Source organism: Homo sapiens, chromosome 1 (genome assembly GCF_000001405.40).
Source record: "Homo sapiens chromosome 1, GRCh38.p14 Primary Assembly".
Classification (NCBI taxonomy): domain Eukaryota; kingdom Metazoa; phylum Chordata; class Mammalia; order Primates; family Hominidae; genus Homo; species Homo sapiens.
This window is the reverse complement of record NC_000001.11, coordinates 160,270,301-160,293,157: the sequence shown is the minus strand read 5'-3', so window position 1 is coordinate 160,293,157 and position 22,857 is coordinate 160,270,301. Positions and strand designations below refer to the sequence as shown.

Here is a 22,857-nt window from a genome sequence, read left to right as displayed (position 1 = left end):
CCTTGGCTTTTCCTCTTGAGTGTGCCTAGCCCAGGGTCCCCGGGAGATGGTTGACTCATTTTAATCAAGGGAAATTATCCTACCCATAAGGGGAAAGGTGTATATTTTTCATGAAAACTCTTTATCTTTGTTAAGTACACTTGCCTTCCTGTTATCTGCCTTCCACTTGGCCTAGTAATCTCTTAGGGCATATCCTTCAGTCATCTTCCACCCATTTATAGCTTGCTTTCTGGCTCATATCAGTGAGATAAGTACCCCTTTCCAAGCAGAGGTCTGTTTTGAACACTAAGCCAGTATTGTTATAATAACAACAATAATGATAACACTGCAATAACTGCTAACGTTTATTTAATGTTCACTGTGTGCCAGGCACTATCCTAAATACTTTAATAGGTATCATTAAATGAGGTAGGTCTTACAATTAAGTGTATTTTACTGATGAGGAAACGTGAACAGAGAAATTAATTACCTTGCCCAAGGAAAAGTAGCTTTTTATGCAGCAGGGCCAAAATCCTTGTTTCTTTCCTTCTGTTCCAGCTCCTTCATGACCAAGTAGGGGTAATCCAGTTTGGCCCCTACAAGCAACTGTTCCTACAGACATACGCCCGAGGCCGCACAACCTATCAGGCTCTGCCCTGCCTACCCTCCATGTATGGCTATCCTAATCGCAACTGGTAAGGCCCTTTTCTCTTTGCTTTCATCTGTTCCAAGTTGTGGTCGATATTTCAGATGGTAGCCTCAGTGACATAGTCAGAATTCTCTCAGAGCTAGGGTTTCCCAGTAGAAAAAGATCTTTGGTTTGTTACTCTATGGGGTTGGTTTACACCTGCTGTCATCCTCTTCCCCAGCTACTTTAACAGGAGACAGGAGGGTAGCTATGAGGATGTTTGCCAGAAAAGGAAATTGGGTCCTAGTTGCCTACTGACTATCCTGTCTTCTTCCTACTTTTCCCTTTCCAGGAAGGATGCAGGGCTGAAGAATGGTGTACCAGCTGTGGGCCTGAAGCTTAATGACCTCATCCAACGGTTGCAGCTGTGCTACCAGCTCACCACAGTTGGCAAATTTGAGGAGGCTGTGGAAAAATTCCGTTCCATCCTTCTCAGTGTGCCACTTCTTGTTGTGGACAATAAACAAGAGATTGCAGAGGTAGGAGGGTCTAGCCGCTGTCCCAGTTCTGGGCACTTCCACATTCTTGTCTCTGTATCCTGACCTTCTGCCCCCTCTACAGGCCCAGCAGCTCATCACCATTTGCCGTGAGTACATTGTGGGTTTGTCCGTGGAGACAGAAAGGAAGAAGCTGCCCAAAGAGACTCTAGAACAGCAGAAGCGCATCTGTGAGGTAAGATCTATAGGACCCTGAGCACAACAGAGACGTCCTTCCCTTCACCCTTCACTAGGTTTGAATTCTTTAATTTCAAACCCAGATCTGAGTGGGGATGAAGAGAAATTTAGGCCCTTCATTTCTATGAGGGGAGGATACATTTCTTCATCCTACTTCCTCATCTCACCAGTCCTCCATACCTAGGAGGTAGAAGACCTCTCAGCTTTATAGCCCATCATCCTATTTTGTGTTGTGTTTTTTATGCATGTGTAGCAGCTTAGAAATGACTTCTACCAGGTGTAGCATCAACCTGGCATGTGTTCCTTTTTCTGTCCACCAGATGGCAGCCTATTTCACCCACTCAAACCTGCAGCCTGTGCACATGATCCTGGTGCTGCGTACAGCCCTCAATCTGTTCTTCAAGCTCAAGAACTTCAAGACAGCTGCCACCTTTGCTCGGCGCCTACTAGAACTCGGGCCCAAGCCTGAGGTGGCCCAACAGGTAGATGGAACTCCTTCAGTGACCATAGGGAAGCCAGATCAGCTCTTACATGGAGGGAGCAGACCAAGGTCCTTGCCTCTGAAACAAAGCAATAAATAACAACATTCAACAAAAAGCCAACAGAATGCTACCCTCTGTTTACTTCCTGACTTGGTGTTTCCTTTGTTCCTGGAAAATTAATAGTTTATTGAGACATGGCACTCGTCTAAGAGTGCCGTGCAACCTAGAATAGCTCCACTGCAGCTGAAAGTAACCCCAGTCCTGTCCTTAAGCTCCAGATATCCCATCACAACCACCACAAAGCTTCACATACACATCTCATTACTTGTGTCCTCCAAATGCATTCTTTTTGGGTGATGGAAGTCTGTTTTAACCCTTTCTAGGACCTGACCCTGATAATCTCTAGAGTTGGTGGAGGAATGTGGGTCTAGATTATGGAGCCACTTTTGTATTGAGAAGGGGAAAGTTTGATACAATAGGAATGGTGATTGTTAACCCTTCACATACATCCAGTACAGAGGTTGGGACCTCTTTTCACGCAGTACAGTTGTGTCTCACATCAACGGAACTACCAAACCATGGTGTTGGGATCCTTTGAGGTGTTGTCTGCAGCCTTCTGTCCTCCTAAATACTCCTTCCTTCCCCTAGACCCGAAAAATCCTGTCTGCCTGTGAGAAGAATCCCACAGATGCCTACCAGCTCAATTATGACATGCACAACCCCTTTGACATTTGTGCTGCATCATATCGGCCCATCTACCGTGGAAAGCCAGTAGAAAAGTGTCCACTCAGTGGGGCCTGCTATTCCCCTGAGTTCAAAGGTCAAATCTGCAGGGTCACCACAGTAAGTACTGTCCTCAATAAATATATCTAGGATATTGAGCGAAGGGGAAAAAGAAAGAAACATGGTGGTCCTTTTTTTCTTCTTGTGCTTGTCCCCTGCTCCCTGAGGCAGTGACACTGGAGAAAGCTAGAGCATCTCCCCACTGCTCTTGGCCAGTCAGTGATGAACACCCCAATACCTGTCTACTGTGCCCATTGAGGGGTATAGGGAATACATTTTCTAGGGTTCTCAATCTTACAAATCTCTAACTTGTTCCTTTGTTTGTTTTTCCACAGGTGACAGAGATTGGCAAAGATGTGATTGGTTTAAGGATCAGTCCTCTGCAGTTTCGCTAAGGCCCCCTTTGTGTGCATGGGTCAGTCACCATATGTTCCCCCCAGAGAATGTGTCTATATCCTCCTTCTAACAGCACCTTCCCCCTGCAGCTACTCTTCAGATCTGGCTCTCTGTACCCTAAAACCTAGTATCTTTTTCTCTTCTATGGAAAATCCGAAGGTCTAAACTTGACTTTTTTGAGGTCTTCTCAACTTGACTACAGTTGTGCTCATAATTGTCCTTGCCTTTCCAGCTTAATTATTTTAAGGAACAAATGAAAACTCTGGGCTGGGTGGAGTGGCTCATACCTGTAATCCCAGCACTTTGGGAGGCTACGGTGGGCAGATCATCTGAGGCCAGGAGTTCGAGACCTGCCTGGCCAACATGGCAACACCCCGTCTCTAATAAAAATATAAAAATTAGCCTGGCATGGTAGCATGCGCCTATAGTCCCAGCTGCTCAGGAGGCTGAGGCATGAGAATCGCTTGAACCTAGGAGGTGGAGGTTGCATTCAACTGAGATCATACCACTTCATTCCAGCCTGGGTGACAGAGCAAGACTCTGTCTCAAAAAAAAAAAAAAGGAAAACTCTGTGATGGACATTTGTTTAGTAAATCCCTTCAGTATTTATCCCTCCTTTCCCCACAGCAGCTTTCTTTCCTGTCAACTAGAAAGGAGCAGGATGTAATAAATACATTTTGGTGTGACTAGGCCACACCAACTCTTAATCATCTCCCATTTTCCTTAGACATTTAAATTTCAAGGCAGGTACCCTCTGTGTACTCAGAAATTTGAAGAAGTTATTTGGTTTTCCAAAATGCACACTGCGGGTTATTGATTTGTTCTTTACAACTATTGTTCTCATATTTCTCACACTAAATAAATCTCTATGAGAGCTTCTTGACTTGGCCATTTATTTCTTGGACACTCTCATGTTCTTGTTCACCCATGCAGGCACCCCACCAAAGTACATATCTTCCTTCCAGTAATAATTTTTAATTACAAAATAAACATCCACTATTGGAAAAAAAAAAAAAAAGCTAGCCGGGCATGGTGGTGGGTGCCTGTAATCCCAGCTACTCTGGAGGCTGAGGCAGAGGATTGCTTGAACCCGGGAGGCGGAGGTTGCAGTAAGCTGAGATCGCGCCACCGCACTCCAGCCTGGGCGACAGAGTGAGACTCCATCTCAAAAAAAAAGAAAGAAAAAAAGAAGCACATGTTTTTCATAGGGTATATATGAGGACCTAAACTGCTGTGAAAATGATAGAAAGCAAGTAGCTCCCTTATTCTGTTTTTGATTGCAGCCTTTTATCTTTTGCTAATTATAGCAATATTTATTGAGCACCTGCCATGTGACTGTCACTGTTCTAGATATTTTACATGTAATATACAGATAAAAGAATAGTACTTTATATATATTACAATGATACAATGATTACATTAACAATACAATATTTTGCTTGTCATATGCTAAGAATAATTGGGTAGAGTGACATTACTGTGCCTTCGATTAAAATAAGTACTTTTTTGCGTGTTAAATTCATGTTTTCAATAAATAATAAATGCATATAGTTGAAAAATCAGTAAATATAAAAAGCTATTCTGTGACAAATCTTTCCACCCTTTCATCAGCCACCCAGTTCCTATCACCTTCCCCTAAACAGGTAACCACTGTTACCAGCTTTCTTACATCCTTCCAGAAATTTTATATATATATATATATACACACACACACATATACATGCACATGCTGATATCACTATGCCATTCTCTATCTCCTTTTATACACAAATGAAACCACACTATTTAACAATTTTGTACCTTTGTTTTTTCATTTAACATTTTTGGTATTTTCTCGTATCAATATATTAGGGAGCTTCACTTTGTTTTTTACTTCTCTTCATACTATACGTTGTATTTTTTAGCTTTATCTTAAGAGTTGCTTTTTTAAACAGCATCCCTAAACTAAGGCTGCCTTCTCAACAGAGTACATACTACTAATGAGATTGTGCCATTGCACTCCACCCTGGGGTACAAGAGCGAGACTTCGTCTCAAAAAAAAAAAAAATGTACATATTAGCCGGGAGTGGTGGCTCACGCCTGTAATCCCACCACTTTGGGAGGCCAAGGCAGGCAGATCACCTGAGGTCAGGAGTTCGAGAACAGCCTGGCCAACACGGTGAAACCCTGTTTCTACGAAAAATACAAAAATTAGCTGGGTAGGGTGGCAGGCACCTGTAATCCCAGCTACTCAGGAGGCTGAGGCAGGAGAATTGCTTGAACCCGGGAGGCGGAGGTTGCAGTGAACTGAGATCACACCATTGCACTCCAGCCTAGGGGACAAGAGCAAGACTTTGTCTTAAAAAAAAAAAAAGGCCGGGCGTGGTGGCTCACGCCTGTAATCCCAGCACTTTGGGAGGCCAAGGCAGGCGGAACACGAGGTCAGGAGATCGAGACCATCCTGGCTAACATGGTGAAACCCTGTCTCTACTAAAAATACAAGATGTGAAATAATTGTGACTCCCAGGCAAGAATTAGAATTTGTTCGATAAACTGTGGAGAACCATTAAATCCTTAAGGAACAGAGTGATATGAAAGCGTTATAAAATACTGTTATTCAACAGTATTCGCTATACATTAGAAGGGCAGAAGGAGCAGTCAGTAGGTCAGTAAATACTGAGATGAGATGTTAGGAATATTAGGAGTAAAAATAGAAAAGCAGAAAGAAGTTTAAGAAATAATGCAAAGAAAGAATCATGCTTGTTTTTGACTCCATTTTAATTATCATCTATTATCTTTTAATTAACATGCTTATATTACATTAGTTTAAAGCCAATTGACCAAGTGTAGTGGCTCACATCTATAATCCCAGTACTTTGGGAGGCCAAGGTGGGCATATCACTTGAGGTCAGGAGTTAAAGACCAGCCTGGCCAATATGGTGAAACACTGTCTCTACTAAAAATACAAAAATTAGTTGGGCATGGTGGCGCGAGCCTGCAGACCCAGCTACTCAGGTGGCTGAGACAGGAGAATCACTTGAACCCGGGAGGTGGAGGCTGCAGTGAGCCAAAATTGCACCACTGCACTCCAGCCTGGGCAACAGTGAAACTCTGTCTCAAAAAATAAAACCAATAGAGATGCCTGTTGATAGACAAGTTTTCTTTTTTTGACGTGCTTGTTACAACTATAGCCATATTGGAGATACACGTGTAAGCAGTTTGAATGAGAAAGTCTGGAATAAATTATGTTGCAGGTGTTGGAAAACAGGTTTATCAGGAAAGGATTTGATTACAGAAGTTTAGAATTGTAAAGGACTTCAAAAGTGATTAGTGGCAGAATTGGGGCTGGAATTTAGGCTTTCTAACTCACAGTTCATAATATTTTGATCCCAAAACACACTACTTGTGGTTGGAAGAAAACAGGTTTTGCAGATATGATTTTACAAGTCTGTGCCCTATCTGTGAAGGACATAGTAAGTGCTTGATCTGGTGCTTGATGCAGTACTCAAATGTGTGTTTAGGAAGCTAAGAATGAAAGTGATGAGGTGACTTAACACAGGATTTTTTTTCATTTAAAATTCTTACCTTGTATCATACTGTGTGTATATCTCATCATACCTCCGGCTCACCCCCACTTAGCTACCTTACAGCAGGGGGTGGTCCTGATTTATCTCTCTGTCCTCACTGTGCCCAGAACAAGACCTTAATAATAGGTGCTCTCTAAGTGCGAAAACAGATTTGTATGTGAAACAGTTGCTACATTCTGACATCTGAATAGAACAATTCCAAAGGAGGAAAGGGACGTCTAGAGTTACCTCTATCTGAGCATTCCCCGTGTTCACTCAGTTGGAGGTTGGGTTCTGTGTGGAGAAAAGGAGATTGTTCAGGGAAAGTAAGTCTATTACTACTGCATTCGAATTGCCCTGCTCAGTCCAAGGTACCAGAGGCTCTCTTAATAACATGGAGTTCTAAGTTCCTGGCCGGCCCTGTGTCCTTTAATCAAACAGTTCTAATAGATAATAGGAAATGAGAGATGCCACTAGATTGGGCAGACAGATGTGCCTGATTAGGGACTGCGAGAGCAAAGAGTGGCCAATGAATGCCTACTAAGTTTTAAACCCTAGCCTGGGAGTTGGGCTTTACAGCAGTGAAGACAACAGACGAAAATCTTTGCGTTCATGGTGTTTAAATTCTGCAGGGTGGGGAGCGGAGAATAAAAAAGTACGGTAGATAGTATGTCAGATACTGTTCAGTGTTAGGAAGAAAAGGAACGGGAATGGCCAAGGAAAGCGTTTCAGAAAAGATAATATTTGAGGGAAACAATGAAGTGAAGCCGGGCGCAGTGGCTCACGCCTGTAATCCCAGCACTTCGGGAGGCCGAGGTGGGCGGATCAGCTGAGGTCCGGAGTTCGAGACCAGCCTGGCCAACCAGCCTGGCCAACATGTTAAAACCCCGTCTCTACAAAAATTAGTCGGACGTGGTGTCGCGCGCCTGTCATCCCAGCTACACGGGAGGCTGAGGCAGGAAGAATCGCTTGAACCCGGGAGGCCAAGGCTGCAGTGAGCCGAGATGGCGCCACTGCATTCCAGCGTAGGCGACAGAGCAAGATTCCTTCTCAAAAAAAAATAAAAAAAAAAAAATGAAGTGAGAGAAAGTAGTATGTTATGTGCCATAATTGTCATATCAATTATATATGTTTAGATTCTGGTTATTTGTAGGCAGTTTGTCTCAATCTGGCCTACTCACAGCTCAGGAAAAAATAATGAAAGAGCTTCGCCAGGTAATTTGGGAAGTTGAAAGAAAGGAGTCCGGGCCTCTAAAACCAGACAGAAAATAACCCTATCTTATCCCTAATTCTGTTTCACAGGAGAAAAGGGAAAAATACCCAAAACACAAACACTCAAAGCTTCCTGGCCCTTTAAAAATGGCGGTTCCGCACTGGTCAACAATACCATTGGTTACCCGAGGCAGAAGAGGGCGGGAGCGAAGGGGTGGAGGGCGTGTCGGCACCGAGGAGGTCCCGCCTCCTACGGCAAGTCGGAGGTAGCAAGATGGCCGCCGCTGAGGAAGGCTGTAGTGTCGGGGCCGAAGCGGACAGGGAATTGGAGGAGCTTCTGGAAAGTAAGAGCCCATAGTGGGAAAGGCCCGAAGAGGGCACGTGTGAGGACCCATTCTGGGGGTTAAGTGAACCTGAGATATTAGGGACGGGCAGGAGAGGCTCTCCAAAGGTTAAATGGGGGCGGAGAGTCTGACCCCCGAGCCCCCCAAAAATCTCTGGGTCATCCTGCCCCACCCCGGCGACTGGAGCTGGGGAGCTCACCTGGGGTCCCTCAGTGGTCCGGATGGTGGATGTTTCCGCAGGACGGCGTTTCATGATACCTCTTCAAACTCCTCTTTAGGTTACTGAGTTCTTAAAGTTCGACTTCAGCAGCAGTAGCAGCAGCAGCAGCATTTGGTTCTTGCTGGGTAGCGAACTACGCACTCACTGATTGCTTACATTAACTCCTAGCAAGCTCGTGGCCGGTCCTTGTGTGCCTCGTCCTGTCTTCCTTAACACGAAAGACACTTTTCTCCTCCTAGTCCTTTTCTCTTTCTCTCGTTAGGCCCCTTAACAGTTCTTTCATCTTGTCAGTAGCTCAAGCGGACTCCTTTCCCTTATTTTGAGAAACTGAGGATGTGGCGATTTCAGGGGAAAGCAGTTCACCCTCCTGAAAGACGGGGGATGTTTTCTTAGCATTACTCTCCACTCCCCTGTTGACTTCCTGCCCAGAGTAGGGCCAGTGCTCTCTCCCTAGGCCTGGCGAACAGAATGGTGGTGAGGACACAGGCTTTTCAGGGCAGAGGTGAATTTGTAATCGCTTGCTCAATCACGGAGATGTGGGCAGGCAGAAAAATGAACAGAAACCCTGAGGAGTGCCAAGTGACTGTGTAAATTAGTGTACGGTTATCTGCAGAGATCAGGCCAAAGGGAGCTCTAGAAGGTTGTTGGGGAGCACTAAACTGGAGAATAAGAGAAGATAGTTTAATGCCGTACCATGGAGTCTGGTATGTAGTCCCTCAGTCTGTGCTGGTACCAGTACCAACAGGAAGCTGGGTGGGATGTCCTGTGCTTTCTCACCAAGTTATTCCTTTTAGAGCTCCAGAGTGAGTTCAGAGGGATGAGGACATCTGTGTTCTCTACTACTGTTGGGTATTTGTATGGGATTTCTAGGGAATCGTTAGGGTGTGGCAAGGGAGACACTATAGATGGAGATGTCTCTGCAGAACTTTTTAATCCTCTCCTCCCAGCTCTGAGATGGACATTTGTTCCACCTTAAGGGATTTCTTTGCCTTTGCTCACAATAAATTAGGTAATCCAGAAGGAAGTAGGAGGCTCATTGAGGGTGGTCTGGGGAGGTGGGGGACTCAAGGAGGAAAATTGAGGAAAGTTGGCAATTTGAAAAATCATATTCCTAATGCTTTGCCCAGAAACCACCCAGCCTTGCTTGCATTCTCATCTGTCGCCAACACACACACCATGTCTCTTGTCTCTGAAGGTGCTCTTGATGATTTCGATAAAGCCAAACCCTCCCCAGCACCCCCTTCTACCACCACGGCCCCTGATGCTTCGGGGCCCCAGAAGAGATCGCCAGGAGACACTGCCAAAGTATAAATTCCACCCCCTTAAGGGATGGGGAGGGGATGGGCATGCAGCCCTGAGCAGAGGTTGGGCAGGCCCCTATGGGCCAGAGGGGAATGTGGGAGGGTACCTTGGCCTCACATTGGTGAGTGCTCTTGCCAGCCTCAGTCCTTGTGAAATAAGGACTTGAGGTTGAGTGGGGGAATCTCAGAGTTCCTTGAAAAAATAGTAGGTTTAAATGGTTGGATTGGTATGCCATCCCATACCCTCCTTCAATGACTAGATACCTTTTTTGCTATCCTCATTAGGAGCAGTAGTTAGAATGTCCAGTGGAATTGGGTAGGAGGGAGGTGCATTTCCCATAGCCACTGCCTGTGGCTTCTATCAGAGGCCAGGTGCAGTGTAGTCCTAAGTAAGAGACGCATTTCAGCCATCCTTCCCCCGCAGGATGCCCTCTTCGCTTCCCAAGAGAAGTTTTTCCAGGAACTATTCGACAGTGAACTGGCTTCCCAAGCCACTGCGGAGTTCGAGAAGGCAATGAAGGAGTTGGCTGAGGAAGAACCCCACCTGGTGGAGCAGTTCCAAAAGCTCTCAGAGGCTGCAGGGAGAGTGGGTGAGGAGACCCCAGATACATGGAAATATCTGAACAGACTCTTAAGTCTTTGTTGCCTGAAAACACCAGAATTCTTAGTGAAGTTGATAGCAATCATGATGTCACAGCCAAGGAACGGGTAAAGGCAATGAGAGAAAGGATGGGAATCCCTGTTAATGAAAAGGGGTGAGATAGGTTGGAAAGTAATAGAAAACATTATTCAAAACTGACCATTTGAAAGGTCACAGTGTTATTGTGGGTATCATCATGGAGAATAAACTGATGCAGAGTCCGTGTACTAAATAGATTTATGAAAAGACTATGAAGATAACCATAGGGTTTTCCAAGATTGGGAGTGATAATGATTCACTAGTAAATGCTTCATATCCAAGCTGTTAACCAGTTCAGTCTAGGCAAGGAAACAAACTCCTAAATGACGCTGGCTTTTTTAATCTCTCCTAGGCAGTGATATGACCTCCCAACAAGAATTCACTTCTTGCCTAAAGGAAACACTAAGTGGATTAGCCAAAAATGCCACTGACCTTCAGGTGAGGAGAAAGTAGTAGGGGCCCACAAGGGGTCCACTCCCAGACATTTCTCCAGCAGAGTCTCAAAAGACAGATGCTTTGAGTATCATCCCAAGTCTGTTGCTGTCTTATTGTTTGTTACAGGCAAGTTTAGATAGTTTATCTTTGTCACCTGAGAGAGTGGTGAGCATCCCAAGAAGGTAGTATACCTGCTCACCTCTTACTTGTCCTATCTAGAACTCCAGCATGTCGGAAGAAGAGCTGACCAAGGCCATGGAGGGGCTAGGCATGGACGAAGGGGATGGGGAAGGGAACATCCTCCCCATCATGCAGAGTATTATGCAGAACCTACTCTCCAAGGATGTGCTGTACCCATCACTGAAGGAGATCACAGAAAAGGTTTGTGAACTTCCATTTCTGCTTTTTCTCTTCATTTTCCATCACATCAACTGATGTGGGCTATTTTGTCTACTCAGAGCCTGCAGAAAGAGTAACTCGAGTGTGCTTTTTTTCCTTCTTTATTTATTTGAGGCAGGGAGAGTTGGGGGTTGGGGAGAGTTGTGTCTCTGAGAGAATAAAGCTGTCACACGGTATGTTGGGGTATAAGAGGTATAACGTTTGGGGTCTAAGAGGAAATCCTTCAGTTCTAGTTTTCTATAAACTGGTTCAAGACTCTGGGATTGTTGTCTGATCAATCTTGCATTTCTGACTTCATTTCTCCAGCAAGAATTTGGCTGGGCATGGTGGCTCATGCCTGTAATCCCAGCACCTTGGGAGGCCGAGGCGGGTGGATCACCTGAGGTCAGGAGTTCGAGACCAGCCTGGCCAACATGGTGAAACCCCGTCTGTAGTAAAAATACAAAAATTATCCTGGCGTAGTGGCTCACGCCTGTGATCGCAACTACTCAGGAGGCAGCAGGAGAATCACTTGAACCTGGGAGGCAGAGGTTGCAGTGAGCTGAGATTGTGCCACTGTACTCCGGCCTGGGTGACAGAGCAAGACTCCATCTGAAAAAGAAAAAGAATTAACTGAGGATTTACTTACTGGCTTTGTGATGTGAACAGTGTAAGCGTAGTTTAAATGATGGTCCCTGCCATAAAAGAGCTTATATGTGTGGTTGTATCATTTTGTTTTGAGACAGGGTCTAGCTCCAGTTGGAGCACAGTGGCACGATCTTGGCTCACCACAGCCTCCCCATCCCAGGCTCAAGTGTTTCTCCCATCTCAGCCTCCTGAGTGGCTGGGACTACAGGTGTGTGCCACCATGCTTGGCCAATGTTTTCAAAATTTTTTGTAGAGTTGAGCTCTCACTATATTGCTCAGGCTGGTCTCAAACTCCTGAGCTCAAGTGATCCTCCCACCTCAGCCTCCCAAAATGCTGGGATTACAAGTGTGAGCCACCACACCTGGCTAAAGAGTGTATAGTTTTACTGGAGAGATAAAATACAGGAATAGAAGCTTTTCAGTGACATGGGGAAATGTGGGTAAGTGTGTAATGAATAGTACAGACCACGAGTCAGCAGGCCAAGACCTGGGTGGGACAAATCCAACTCTCTAGCAAATAATGGTTTTTACATTTTTAAGGTCATTTGAAAAAAACTACAAAGAAAATGTGCAATAGCCGAGCGTAGTGGCTCACTCCTATAGTCCCAGCGCTTTGGGAGGCCACGGTGGACAGATTGCTTGAGCCCAGGAGTTTAAGACCAGCTTGAGCAACATGATGAAACCCTGTCTCTACAAAATACAAAAAAATTAGCCAGTCACAGTGGTGCACACTTGTAGACCCAGCTACTTGGGGAGGCTCAGGTGGGAGGATTGCTTGAGCCTGGGGAGATCGAGGCTGCAGTGAGTGGTGATCACACCATCACACTCCAGCCTGGGTGACAGAGTAAAACTCTGTCTCGAAAAAAAAGAAAAAAAAAACACAATAGAGACCATATGTGGCCCTTGAAGCCTAAAATATTCACTGTCTGGCCCTTTACAGAAGCTTACCAATCTCTGGTGACCATAAATGCTAACATGGCCAGGTGATCTGGTTGGAGTCAGTGCCGCTTTTCATGATGAACTTACTTATTTAGCTTTTCGTTTTTCTACGTCCCTTTCCCTTTCACATTTTAATCACATTGTTCTGATTACCCATCCATATCCATTGTTCACTTAATTCTTTTCCACCCATTCTCTCTTTTCTTAGTATCCAGAATGGTTGCAGAGTCATCGGGAATCTCTACCTCCAGAGCAGTTTGAAAAATATCAGGAGCAGCACAGCGTCATGTGCAAAATATGTGAGCAGTTTGAGGCAGAGACCCCCACAGACAGTGAAACCACTCAAAAGGCTCGTTTTGAGATGGTGCTGGATCTTATGCAGCAGGTAAGGCCTCTTGCCTTCTGCCCACTGGTGCTGTCCACTTAGGTGTTCAGTGAAGGAAGTATCTGGGAAGGATGCAATACTGCTAGACCTAGGTGGAGGAGGGATCCTCTCTTGTGATCTCTCTCAGAAGAAATAGAGAGATCATTCATTAGATTCCTCTTCTGGATCCTCTGTTGTTTTCTGGGCTTTTCTCTATTTCATGTTCCATTTTCCTTATTTTCTAGCTACAAGATTTAGGCCATCCTCCAAAAGAGCTGGCTGGAGAGATGGTGAGTATGTCTTATTTTTCCAGATTTTAATTTGAGTCCCCAATTTCCAGAATTCTTTAACCTCTCAGGATTCCACCTAAGGTGAAAATTGTGGCTACTGGGGATGGATCTTCACGTCTGTCCTAAAAAATGAGCAACTATCTGAGTCCCTTCATCTCTTCCCCAGCCTCCTGGCCTCAACTTTGACCTGGATGCCCTCAATCTTTCGGGCCCACCAGGTGCCAGTGGTGAACAGTGTCTGATCATGTGAAACACAACACGTTTTCCTCTCTGAGTCCCAGCTATGGGGAACATCTGGAGTCAGCAGAACCATTGGGACCTGAGGCAGGAGTGTCACCTGCGGGAGAAGTCTGCCCGCTGCCCTCTGTCATCCCATTCAAGATTGTGCCATACCAGCTGAGGTTTTTCCTCTGTCTCTCTAGGAATAGGGTCTGTTTCACAGGCCATTTCTGTGAACCCTACTCCATTGTGGTTTCTGCCACTATCAAAGTTCCAGCTACCTGCAAGGTGAAGGAAGGCATCCCTTTTGGGGCATGCACTTTCTTTCCTTTCTCAAAATAATGTTATATGTGGCCACACTGATGTTCACCTTTACGTCCAGGGTCTTTGTGCCTTGTCTCTACTCCCTCTCTTGGATCTGGGGAGGAGGGGCAGAGACCTGGGACTCTGTATTTCTATAGTTCTCCTGGCAGAGCCTTTGAGAATGGGGAGAAACAGCCTGGGCTGGGGCTACAGGTCTGTCACTATGCTCTCTTGCCTTCAGACAGACCATTCTGAATTCTCTAAAGGGAAAGGGCTTTTGCATCTAATCACAATAGAGTTGAAAGAGAGGCCTTAGGATTCTCCTCTCTCTAGGTGCTGAGCCCTCACCTCCCTGTTCCAGGCTGAGAACTCAAATGGTTACCCTGCTTCTTCCTACAATGCTGTGTGATATGGGTGAACCCAGCCCCTGACCTTCCTCTATCCCCTGCCCATCCTCCCTTTTACCTCCTCTCTTTTTTAAACACCTGTTTATCCCAACCTTTTTGAGCTCAAGCTGTGATAAAGAAGGGCCCATCCTATTTCCCCTCATCTAGTCCATTTACGATTCTCACTGACTCCCCGTCTTCCTGGCAGACACAAATAAACCCAGTGTCAGGTCTAGGAAATTAATGGCTATTCTTCCCCAGATACATTCTGGCTTATTTGAGATACATGATTCTCTTAGAATCCTGTCCCTTGGTTCAGGAAAGTAGCTTGGAAAAGGAGTAGGGGTATAGCTTGGGTCCCTTTTCCTGCAAGGCCCCATGGGGCAGAATATAATAAATATTCTGAGTGAGGAGTGTGGTCTTTTTCTGATCTTCCTCAGCTTCCGTAAGTTGCAGAGTGAGGTATATTAGGAGACTAGTTCTACACAATATTGTAATGCTGGGTTCCATCAACACCCACCTTCCACAACTCAGTCTGCACCTCAGTTGGCAAAGGAGACTGGATGGCCATCTTTCCTCATGTTCCCTTGAGTATTTCAATGTAGAAAGCCCTTCAAGTGGTATTATATTTTAACCTTTTACATTATTGTTATTAATGTTAGTAATATATTGTTATGTTTTCTAAATTATTTTTCTTTAAGCTGACGTGGCTTTTTTTCTGTGGCTCCCAGTGGGTCTACGGACCTTGGCTGACATATGTTGGTAGGTACTCTGGTCAGCTCAGCTGGCTGTCCTGGTTCACTCAGAAGATAAGTCTCTCCAAAGCAAATTCACATGCATTATGAGTCGCTTTGAGCTTCTGACATGTCACTTGCCCCGAGGTTAAAACTTTTCACCCCTTGAAGACCTTACATGTTTTATGGTATTGGTGAGGAAGGAAATGTTCTCAAGGTCTCAGGCTATTTGGGAAATTCCAACTCCTATACCTTACCAGAGCATGGAAGAGCCCAGATCTGAATGTAAAACGTCTCTGTTCTGCCAGAGATGGAAAAAATACAGGTATACTTGTGATATAGTCATGGGGCTTCAGTGTCACTATTTTCTCCTTAAAGCTCCAGCCAAAAACTGGACAAGGATAGAGAGGAGGAGGGAAGAACAAAAGAGCCCTTCTCTATGAACCTTGTGCCTTCTGTCCTACCAGTTTTCTTTTACAGATTCTCACTTCTGCTAGCCTAGCCAGGGCTTACTCCAGGAATCTAAATAGATGCCCTAGTCCACTTTATCTTTGTTCCCAAGGCACTCATTTTTATTTTGATTTTGATTGAATGTGAGCAGGTTGACCTCAGGTCACACTTTGTTCCAAAAACTTTTGGAATTATTCCAGGACTTGTGGTGGAGTTATGGTACTCTAGGGCAGTCTTTCTCAAACTATGTATGGTAAAGGACCAGGTTTTTTGTTTTCCAGTCCTTCACTTATCAATATGCATTCCTATTGCCCATGACAGGTATGGAGTTCACACTGTGTGCTGCCGACCCGGCAAGTTTGACAGCACCCAAACTGGCCAGACTGTTCTGTAGGTTAAGTCCATTGATCATGTACTTGGATATCACAGCAACATTGAAATGCTAAAAAGTTTTTAAACACTCTCAATTTCTAATTCACCATGTCACAGACTGGTGAAAAAAAAAAAAAGGTGTTCACTGACCAGCACAAGTCTGCAGATCATCTTTGAGTAGCACTGTTTTGGGGCCCTCGGTCTCTCTGAAGACCCTAGCAGAACTGATACCTACCTGTATCTCTTGTTCTCTCCTATTTGAGTTTCACTTCCAGAGAACTTGTTCTTCAGCAAGAATGTGTCACTAGTAAGGACATCTCTAGCATTTCTCTAGCCTTCCTTTTCTGCTGCTCAAAAATAATCGTTACAAAGCTTAGGTTTAAGCTGTATATGAAATATTTATGCGACTCTCAAACTTTAAAGGAGTTGCTCCTTTGTTCCAAAATTAAATGTGTTAGATAAATTTGTGATTGTATGGGTGGCTTCATGAATTAAGAATTGAATTAATACAGACTTTTTGATAATTGGGACATTTTCCTGTGACTCTGGAAGGTCTTGTCAAAGCCCCATGAGGCAGTTATAATATGATGTTAAGATGGCTTTGGGGAGCTAGGAGAAAACATTGGCCCATATTGAATGACGTGGAGACGGCAGACCATACAAAAAAGGACCAAAAGACTTAGAGGAAATGGGTATGCAAGAATGAATGTTATATAACACTGGTAAACCCACCAGCTGACTACCCCAGAAAGACCTGGGAATTATTTTTTAATAAAGACAATGGGAAAGGCACTGATGAAGGGTTACCAGCATCTTTGAGAAATTTAGAAGTGGCTGTCTCTCTAGATCGAAGCTGATACAAGATGTAAAAGAAACTGTTTTCCTAGTAGCAGTGGGGGAATGATAGGATCCTGACATAGCAGAGGCCAGGTGGCAACACTTAACTCTCAGAAGCAAGGTGAGTAAATTTCCTTAAGGGTAGCAAGGTCAAAGTGGAGATGGCTAACGGAATGTGAGTGGTCCTAGGAGCAGGATAGATGGGCAACCAAGAAGAGTATTGTCTTATATATAAGGGAGATCAAGAATGGTTGAACAGAAGGCTGAAGTCAGAAACTTCAAAGAAAAGTCCCCATTTCTTGTCCAGTTTTTAAGCCTGAGATAGTTCTTAGACTCATAAACTATCAATGGAAAGAGACATTTATCAGTTAATCATTGAGTGGAAAAGCACTGTTCATCCTCTGTTCTCACACCACAATGAGTGACACAGAACTCTTCTGTAATCACGTGTGGAATTCCCTCCCCTCAACAAGCAAGCAATTCTGCAGTGGATAACAGCTGGATATCCTCTAATTTACTTTAATTCTGACACTGTCTACCTGGAGACAGTGTCAGATCCCACAGGTTGACCAATCAATCACTGAGACTCTCCCCCCCAACTTCTGATGTCAATTGCAATTCCTGGGTTATTTTGCCTGTGCTATAAATCAGGGTGTCTACAGCCAGCTCCTTGGGTTTGGTTAATTTGTTAGAGTGGCCCACAAAACTTGGGGAAACACTTACTTACATATTTCAGTTTATTTAAAGGATATTACAATGAATATAGATGAAAACATGGCTGGACCCAGTGGCTCACGCTTGTAATCCCAACACTTTGGGAGGCCGAGGTGGGTGGATCACCTAAGGTCAGGAGTTCGAGACCAGCCTGGCGAACATAGTGAAACCCCGTCTCTATTAAAAAAATACAAAATTTAGCTGGGTGTGGTGGTGCATGCCTGTAGTCCCAGCTACTTGGGAAGCTGAGGAAGGAGAATTGCTTGAACTGGGGAGGCGGAGGTTGCAGTGAGCTGAGACTGTGCCACTGTACTCCAGCCTGGGCAACAGACAGAGCAAGACTCCATCTCTCAAAAAAAAAAAGATGAAAAGATGTATAAGGCAAGGTTGCAGAGCTTCCATTCCTTCTCTGGGCATGCCACCATTTAGGACAGCGGTCCCCAACATTCTTGGCACCAGGGACCAGTTTCATAGAAGACAAGTTTTCCACAGAGGGGGGTGGGGGGATGGTTTTGGGATGAAACTGTTCTACCTCGGATCATCAGGCATTAGCTAGATTCTCATAAGGGGCACACAACCTAGATCCCTCGCATGTGCAGTTCACAATAGGGTTTGCACTCCTCTGAGAATCTAGTGCCACTGCTGATCTGACAGGAGGTGGAGCTTAGGCGGTATTGCTGGCCCACCTGCCACTCACCTCCTGCTGTGAGGCCCAGTTCCTAACAAGCCATGGACTGGTACTGGTTCGTGGCCCAGGTGTTGGGGACCCCTCATTCTATAAACCCTCATGTGTTTGACATCTTGGAAGCTGTCTAGATCTTGTCTTTTTGGGTTTTTATGGAGGCTTTATATATAGGCATGATTAGCTGAACCATTGGCCATTGGTGATTAATTTAAAATTCAGCCCCTCTGTCCTCCCTAGAGGTTTGGGGGTGGGGTTGAAAGTTCCAACCCTCTAATACTGCTTTGGTCTTTTTGTTGACTGACCCTGAACCTGAAGCTACCTAGGGGATGCCAACCATCAGTCAACTCATTGGAATACAATAAGACATCACTTTGAAGATTTTAAGGATTTTAGAAGTTATATTCCAGGAAAAGGGGTTAAAGACCAAATACATATTTTACAATATCACAACCAAACACTGGGAAAAGAATATGCAGAAGTTTTTGACTTGGGAAACAGGGTTACAGGGTCTGAGTTGGCATTGATACCCAGGAACCTGAAGTACCACCACAGTGTCTTCCCCTCTCAACACCCCCAACCCTGCTCTCACAGTGGGTCCAAAAACCCACATTATGATCATTTCCCCCATTTCCAAATGTATAATCAGAATGAATATGTTTAGCAGTTTTGGCAGAAAGGCCATGCTCCTGAAACTGCATCCCCACCTCTGCCAAGATAGTAAATATACTGTATTCTGGGGAAAATGGCAGAGATTAGTTCAACCCTTAAAGACTTAAAGGTTGTAGAGGTGTTGTCTCCATTATAGTCACATTCAGTTTCAGCTGTTTGACCTGTGCAAAAACTAGATGGCCTATGGTGAATAACAATGGAATACTACAAACTTAAGCAAGTAGTAGTCCAATTGCAGTGCTGTGTTGGGTATGCTTTCTTTACTAGACAAAGTAACAGCCTCTTTTATAGGTATATAGCTGCTAATCTAGCACAGGGATCAGCAAACTACAGCCCACAGGCCAAATCTGGTTCATTACCTGTTTTTGCAAATAAAGTTTTATTAACATGCAACTATCATTTATTTACATATTGTCTGTGGATGCTTTTGTGCTACAATGGCTGAATGTAGTAGTTGCAACACAGACCATATGGCCTGCAAAATTGAAAATACTTAATATCTGGCCTGGCGTGGTGGCTCACACCTGTAATCCCAGCACTTTGGGAGGCTGAGGCGGGTGGATCACCTGAGGTCAGGAGTTTGAGACCAACCTGGCCAACATGGTGAAACCCTGTCTCTACTAAAAATACAAAAATTAGTTGGGCATGGTGGCGCATGCCTGTAGTCCCAGTTACTTGGGAGGCTGAGGCAGGAGAATCACTTGAACCTGGGAGGTGGAGGTTGCAGTGAGCTGAGATTGTGCCATTGCACTCCAGCTTGGACGACAGAGTGAGACTCCATCTTAAAAAAAAAAAAAAGTTATACAAATCAGGTATTAAGGATATGTTAATCAGACCCAACAACTAAGCAGTGTCAAGTACTCTGGATTCCTTGGTTAGACATATATACTCAAGGTGATGGGGGATAAATGCTGCAAAGATGCAGGGGCCTGCGACATTGGTGAAATTTTTAGTTCAGTGGTCTGAAGCATTCTGGAACATCACCTCTAAAGTAAAGTACAGGTTATTTCAGGCCTCTTACGGTTTTGGAGGCAGCATATTCTGCACTTGGGGATGCAAGAAACAGCTCTGCAACAGGTCCAGGGGGGCCATATCACCTGGAAAATTCCATTGTATTAGAGGTATCTGTGGTAGGAAAAGAGACTAGATTCTTTGATAATACCCAGTAGGAGGGACGGTTCCAGCCCAGACCTCCAGGATTCTGGAGTAAGGTGATGCCATTTTTAGCAGAAAAAGTTTTACCATTTGAAATGCATTTTCTGGTTTGCTGTTAGGCCCTGGAAGAGACTCAGTGCCTGACCATGAGATATCAAGTGACCGTGTGACCAGTTGCCCATATAACCAGCTGGTTATCATTAGACCCTCCAAGTCATGAGGTTGGGTGTATATAGCAGCAAGCCATCTTACAGTGGAAATGGTACATTTGGGAAGAAGCCCAAGCAAACTTAGTGGCACAAGTAAGTTAAATTGAGCAAGGGGCCCCAGCACTCCCCTGTCACCTACCTCTGGTGCACTGATTCCTTTTTCTTAGCTCATGCCTCTGGCCATACAGAAATTCCTTCAACCACCTCACAAAGGAGGGAAAAATCTAGGCCTGGTTTATGGGTAGACTGCCCTGTTATGTTGGGGTAAGCCAGATGGACTACAGCCTCTCACTGAGACTTGGGTGGTTCTGAAAGACAGTGATGAGGGAAATCTTAGTGTGTATGGCTTCAGGCAATGTACTTGATCATTTCCTTTGAGGAAAAAAAAAAAGTGACTGGAGATAAAGTTATACAAGAACTCATGGTCAGTGGCTTTGCTGGTCAGGGGCCTGGAAGAAACAAGATTTAAAAATGGGTGACAAGGTTGGATGAAGAGCATTTGGATGGGTCAGTGAGAGTGTAGCCTATTAAAGCATTGCCAGCAAAGGACTAAGTAACCAGATGGACAGGATGATTTTTTTTTTTTTTTTTTGAGACAGTCTCGCTCCTGTCACCCAGGCTGGAGTGCAATGGTGAGATCTCAGCTCACTGCAACCTCCGCCTCCCAGGTTCAAGTGATTCTCCTGCCTCAGCCTCCCGAGTAGCTGGGATTACAGGCGCCTGCCACCACACCCGGCTAATTTTTGTATTTTTAGTAGAGATGGGGTTTCACCATGTTGGACAGGGTGAATTTATCAGGACTACCTCAGCTGTCCCAGTGCTTGCACAGTGTACTCATGAGTAGAATCACCATGGTGGCAGAGATGGAGGCTACTCATTGACCTAGAAACATGGACTCCTCTCACCCAAAGCTGACCTAACTACTGCTATTGCTGAGTGTTCAACCTGTCAGCAACAGACCAATGCTGAGCCCCCAGTTCAGTACTACTCAAGGAGAACAACCAGACACTTGATGGTGAGTTGATTACACTGAACCTTTTCCATTTTGGAAAAGGCAAAAATTTATCCTGACCTGGGAGGCGGAGGTTGCAGTGAGCCGAGATCGCATCACTGCACTCCAGCCTGGGCGACAGAGCGAGATTGCATCTCAGAAAAAAAAAAAAAATTCCAAAATTCCTCCCCCTTTCCTCAAGGTAGGACAAATGTGGTGCCATTTATGTTCCAGAGTTCCTAGTGGAGGCTAAACTTACCATCTGAATCTATAACTTTGGCTAACCTTCCCCTCCTGTCCTATATTGCTTCCCTCACTTTATTACAGGTTTTACTTGAGAGCACTCCCTCAATAAACCATTTGTGCAGAATCACTTTCTCAGGCTCTGCTTTTAGAGAATCCAACCTAAGACAGGTTAATAGTGGTGCCAACTAAGAAATATCAAGAATCAGAACAGTTTGGGTTTGACAGAAGCTAGAGCAAAAGTGAGTTCAGCTTTGGAATGTTAAGGTGCCATTGGCAGGAATAGACAGGGACTTGGTCAACTTGATAAAAGTGCACCTATGAGTAACCTATAGCCAACATCATAGCTTAATGGTGAAAGACTGGATACTTTTCCTCCAATATCAGGAACACAAGGATATTCACTCTTGCCACTTCAAGTTGGCATTGTGCTGAAGGTTCTAGCCAGAGCAATCAGGCGAGAGAAAGAAAAGGCATCCAGACTGGAAAGGAAGAGATAAAACCATATTCACAGATGGCATTATCTTGCATACAAAAAATCCTCCAGCCTGGGCAACACAGTGAGACCCCATCTCTACAAAAAATTTAAGGGTAGGTGCAGTGGCTCATGCCTGTAATCCCATCACTTATAGATGCCAAAGTGGGAGGATCCCTTGAGCCCTGGAGTTCAAGATTACCCTGGGCAACATAGTGAGATCTTGTCTCTACATAAAATACATTTTTAAAAATTAGCCAGGCAAGGTCCCAGCTATTTGGGAGGCTGAGGTGGGAGGATCACTTGAGTCTAGGAGGTTGAGTCTGCAGTGAGCCAAGATCACACCACTGCACTCCAGCCTGGGCAATAAAGTGAGACCCTGTCCTAAAAAAAAGAAAAAAGACAACGTGGAACTGGCACAATTGATGTAGTGATCAATGTAATAGAATTAAGATTCCAGAAATAAACTCATATATCTATAGTCAATTGATTTTTGACAAGGGTGCCAAGACCATCCCATATGGAAATAATAGTTTTTCAACAAATGGTGCTGGGACAACTGGGTAGCCACATGCAAAGGACTGAAGTTCGATTTTTACCTCACACTGTTTACAAAAGATAAAATTGATGAGTGATGTAAAAGAGCTAAAACTAAAGTTCTTAGAAGACAACACGGGTAAAATCTTCATGACTTCGGGTTTTGCAAAGTCTCCTTAGATATGGCACCAAAAGCATGAGCAACAACAAAAATATAAGTTGGAACGCATCAAAATTTAAAAGTTTTGTGCCTCAAGGGACATCATGATGAAACACAACCCGCAGAAAGGGAGAAAATATTTGCAAATCACATATCTGATATCTGATAAGAGACTTGTATCTAGAATATATACTTAATAATAAAAAGGCAGTCTGGGCCGGGCATGGTGGCTCACGCCTGTAATCCCAGCACTTTGGGAGGCCGAGGTGGGTGGATCACCTGAGGTCAGGAGTTTGAGGACAGCGTGGCCAAGGTGGTGAAACCCCATCTCTACTAAAAATACAAAAATTAACTGGATGTG

At 44.6% G+C, this 22,857-nt stretch overlaps 2 protein-coding genes and 1 long non-coding RNA gene across 7 annotated transcripts in view; 2 read left to right on the top strand and 1 right to left on the bottom strand.

Moving 5' to 3' along the window:
• COPA (coat protein complex I subunit alpha) overlaps window positions 1–4,564 on the top strand; it is a 54,657-nt gene extending 50,093 nt beyond the window's left edge. For both annotated transcript variants that reach the window (NM_004371.4, NM_001098398.2), the window contains exons 28-33: window positions 538–674; window positions 960–1,146; window positions 1,229–1,339; window positions 1,662–1,823; window positions 2,472–2,666; window positions 2,942–4,564. In NM_004371.4, the coding sequence (NP_004362.2) occupies window positions 538–674; window positions 960–1,146; window positions 1,229–1,339; window positions 1,662–1,823; window positions 2,472–2,666; window positions 2,942–3,001 (852 nt within the window). In that variant the 3' untranslated portion in view covers window positions 3,002–4,564. The remainder of the gene's footprint in view (window positions 1–537; window positions 675–959; window positions 1,147–1,228; window positions 1,340–1,661; window positions 1,824–2,471; window positions 2,667–2,941) is intronic.
• LOC107985219 (uncharacterized) lies at window positions 332–8,793 on the bottom strand. The gene is made up of 3 exons (XR_001738265.2): window positions 8,303–8,793; window positions 6,797–6,841; window positions 332–1,901 (listed from the first exon to the last, which is right to left on the bottom strand). It is a non-coding gene; the product is annotated as an uncharacterized LOC107985219 (long non-coding RNA).
• Window positions 8,007–16,351, top strand: PEX19 (peroxisomal biogenesis factor 19). Of its 4 annotated transcripts, none has more exons than NM_001193644.1 (8): window positions 8,007–8,103; window positions 9,519–9,628; window positions 10,049–10,214; window positions 10,656–10,741; window positions 10,958–11,119; window positions 12,912–13,088; window positions 13,313–13,357; window positions 13,576–16,349. In NM_001193644.1, the coding sequence occupies exons 1-8, from the start codon at window positions 8,034–8,036 to the stop codon at window positions 13,597–13,599; spliced, it is 840 nt and encodes a 279-aa protein (NP_001180573.1). In that variant the 5' UTR covers window positions 8,007–8,033; the 3' UTR covers window positions 13,600–16,349. The 4 variants fall into 4 exon arrangements, 2 of the variants coding, with proteins under 2 accessions (NP_001180573.1, NP_002848.1); NM_002857.4 differs by having other exon boundaries at window positions 8,025–8,103; window positions 13,524–16,351; NR_036492.2 differs by lacking the exon at window positions 9,519–9,628 and having other exon boundaries at window positions 8,025–8,103; window positions 13,524–16,351.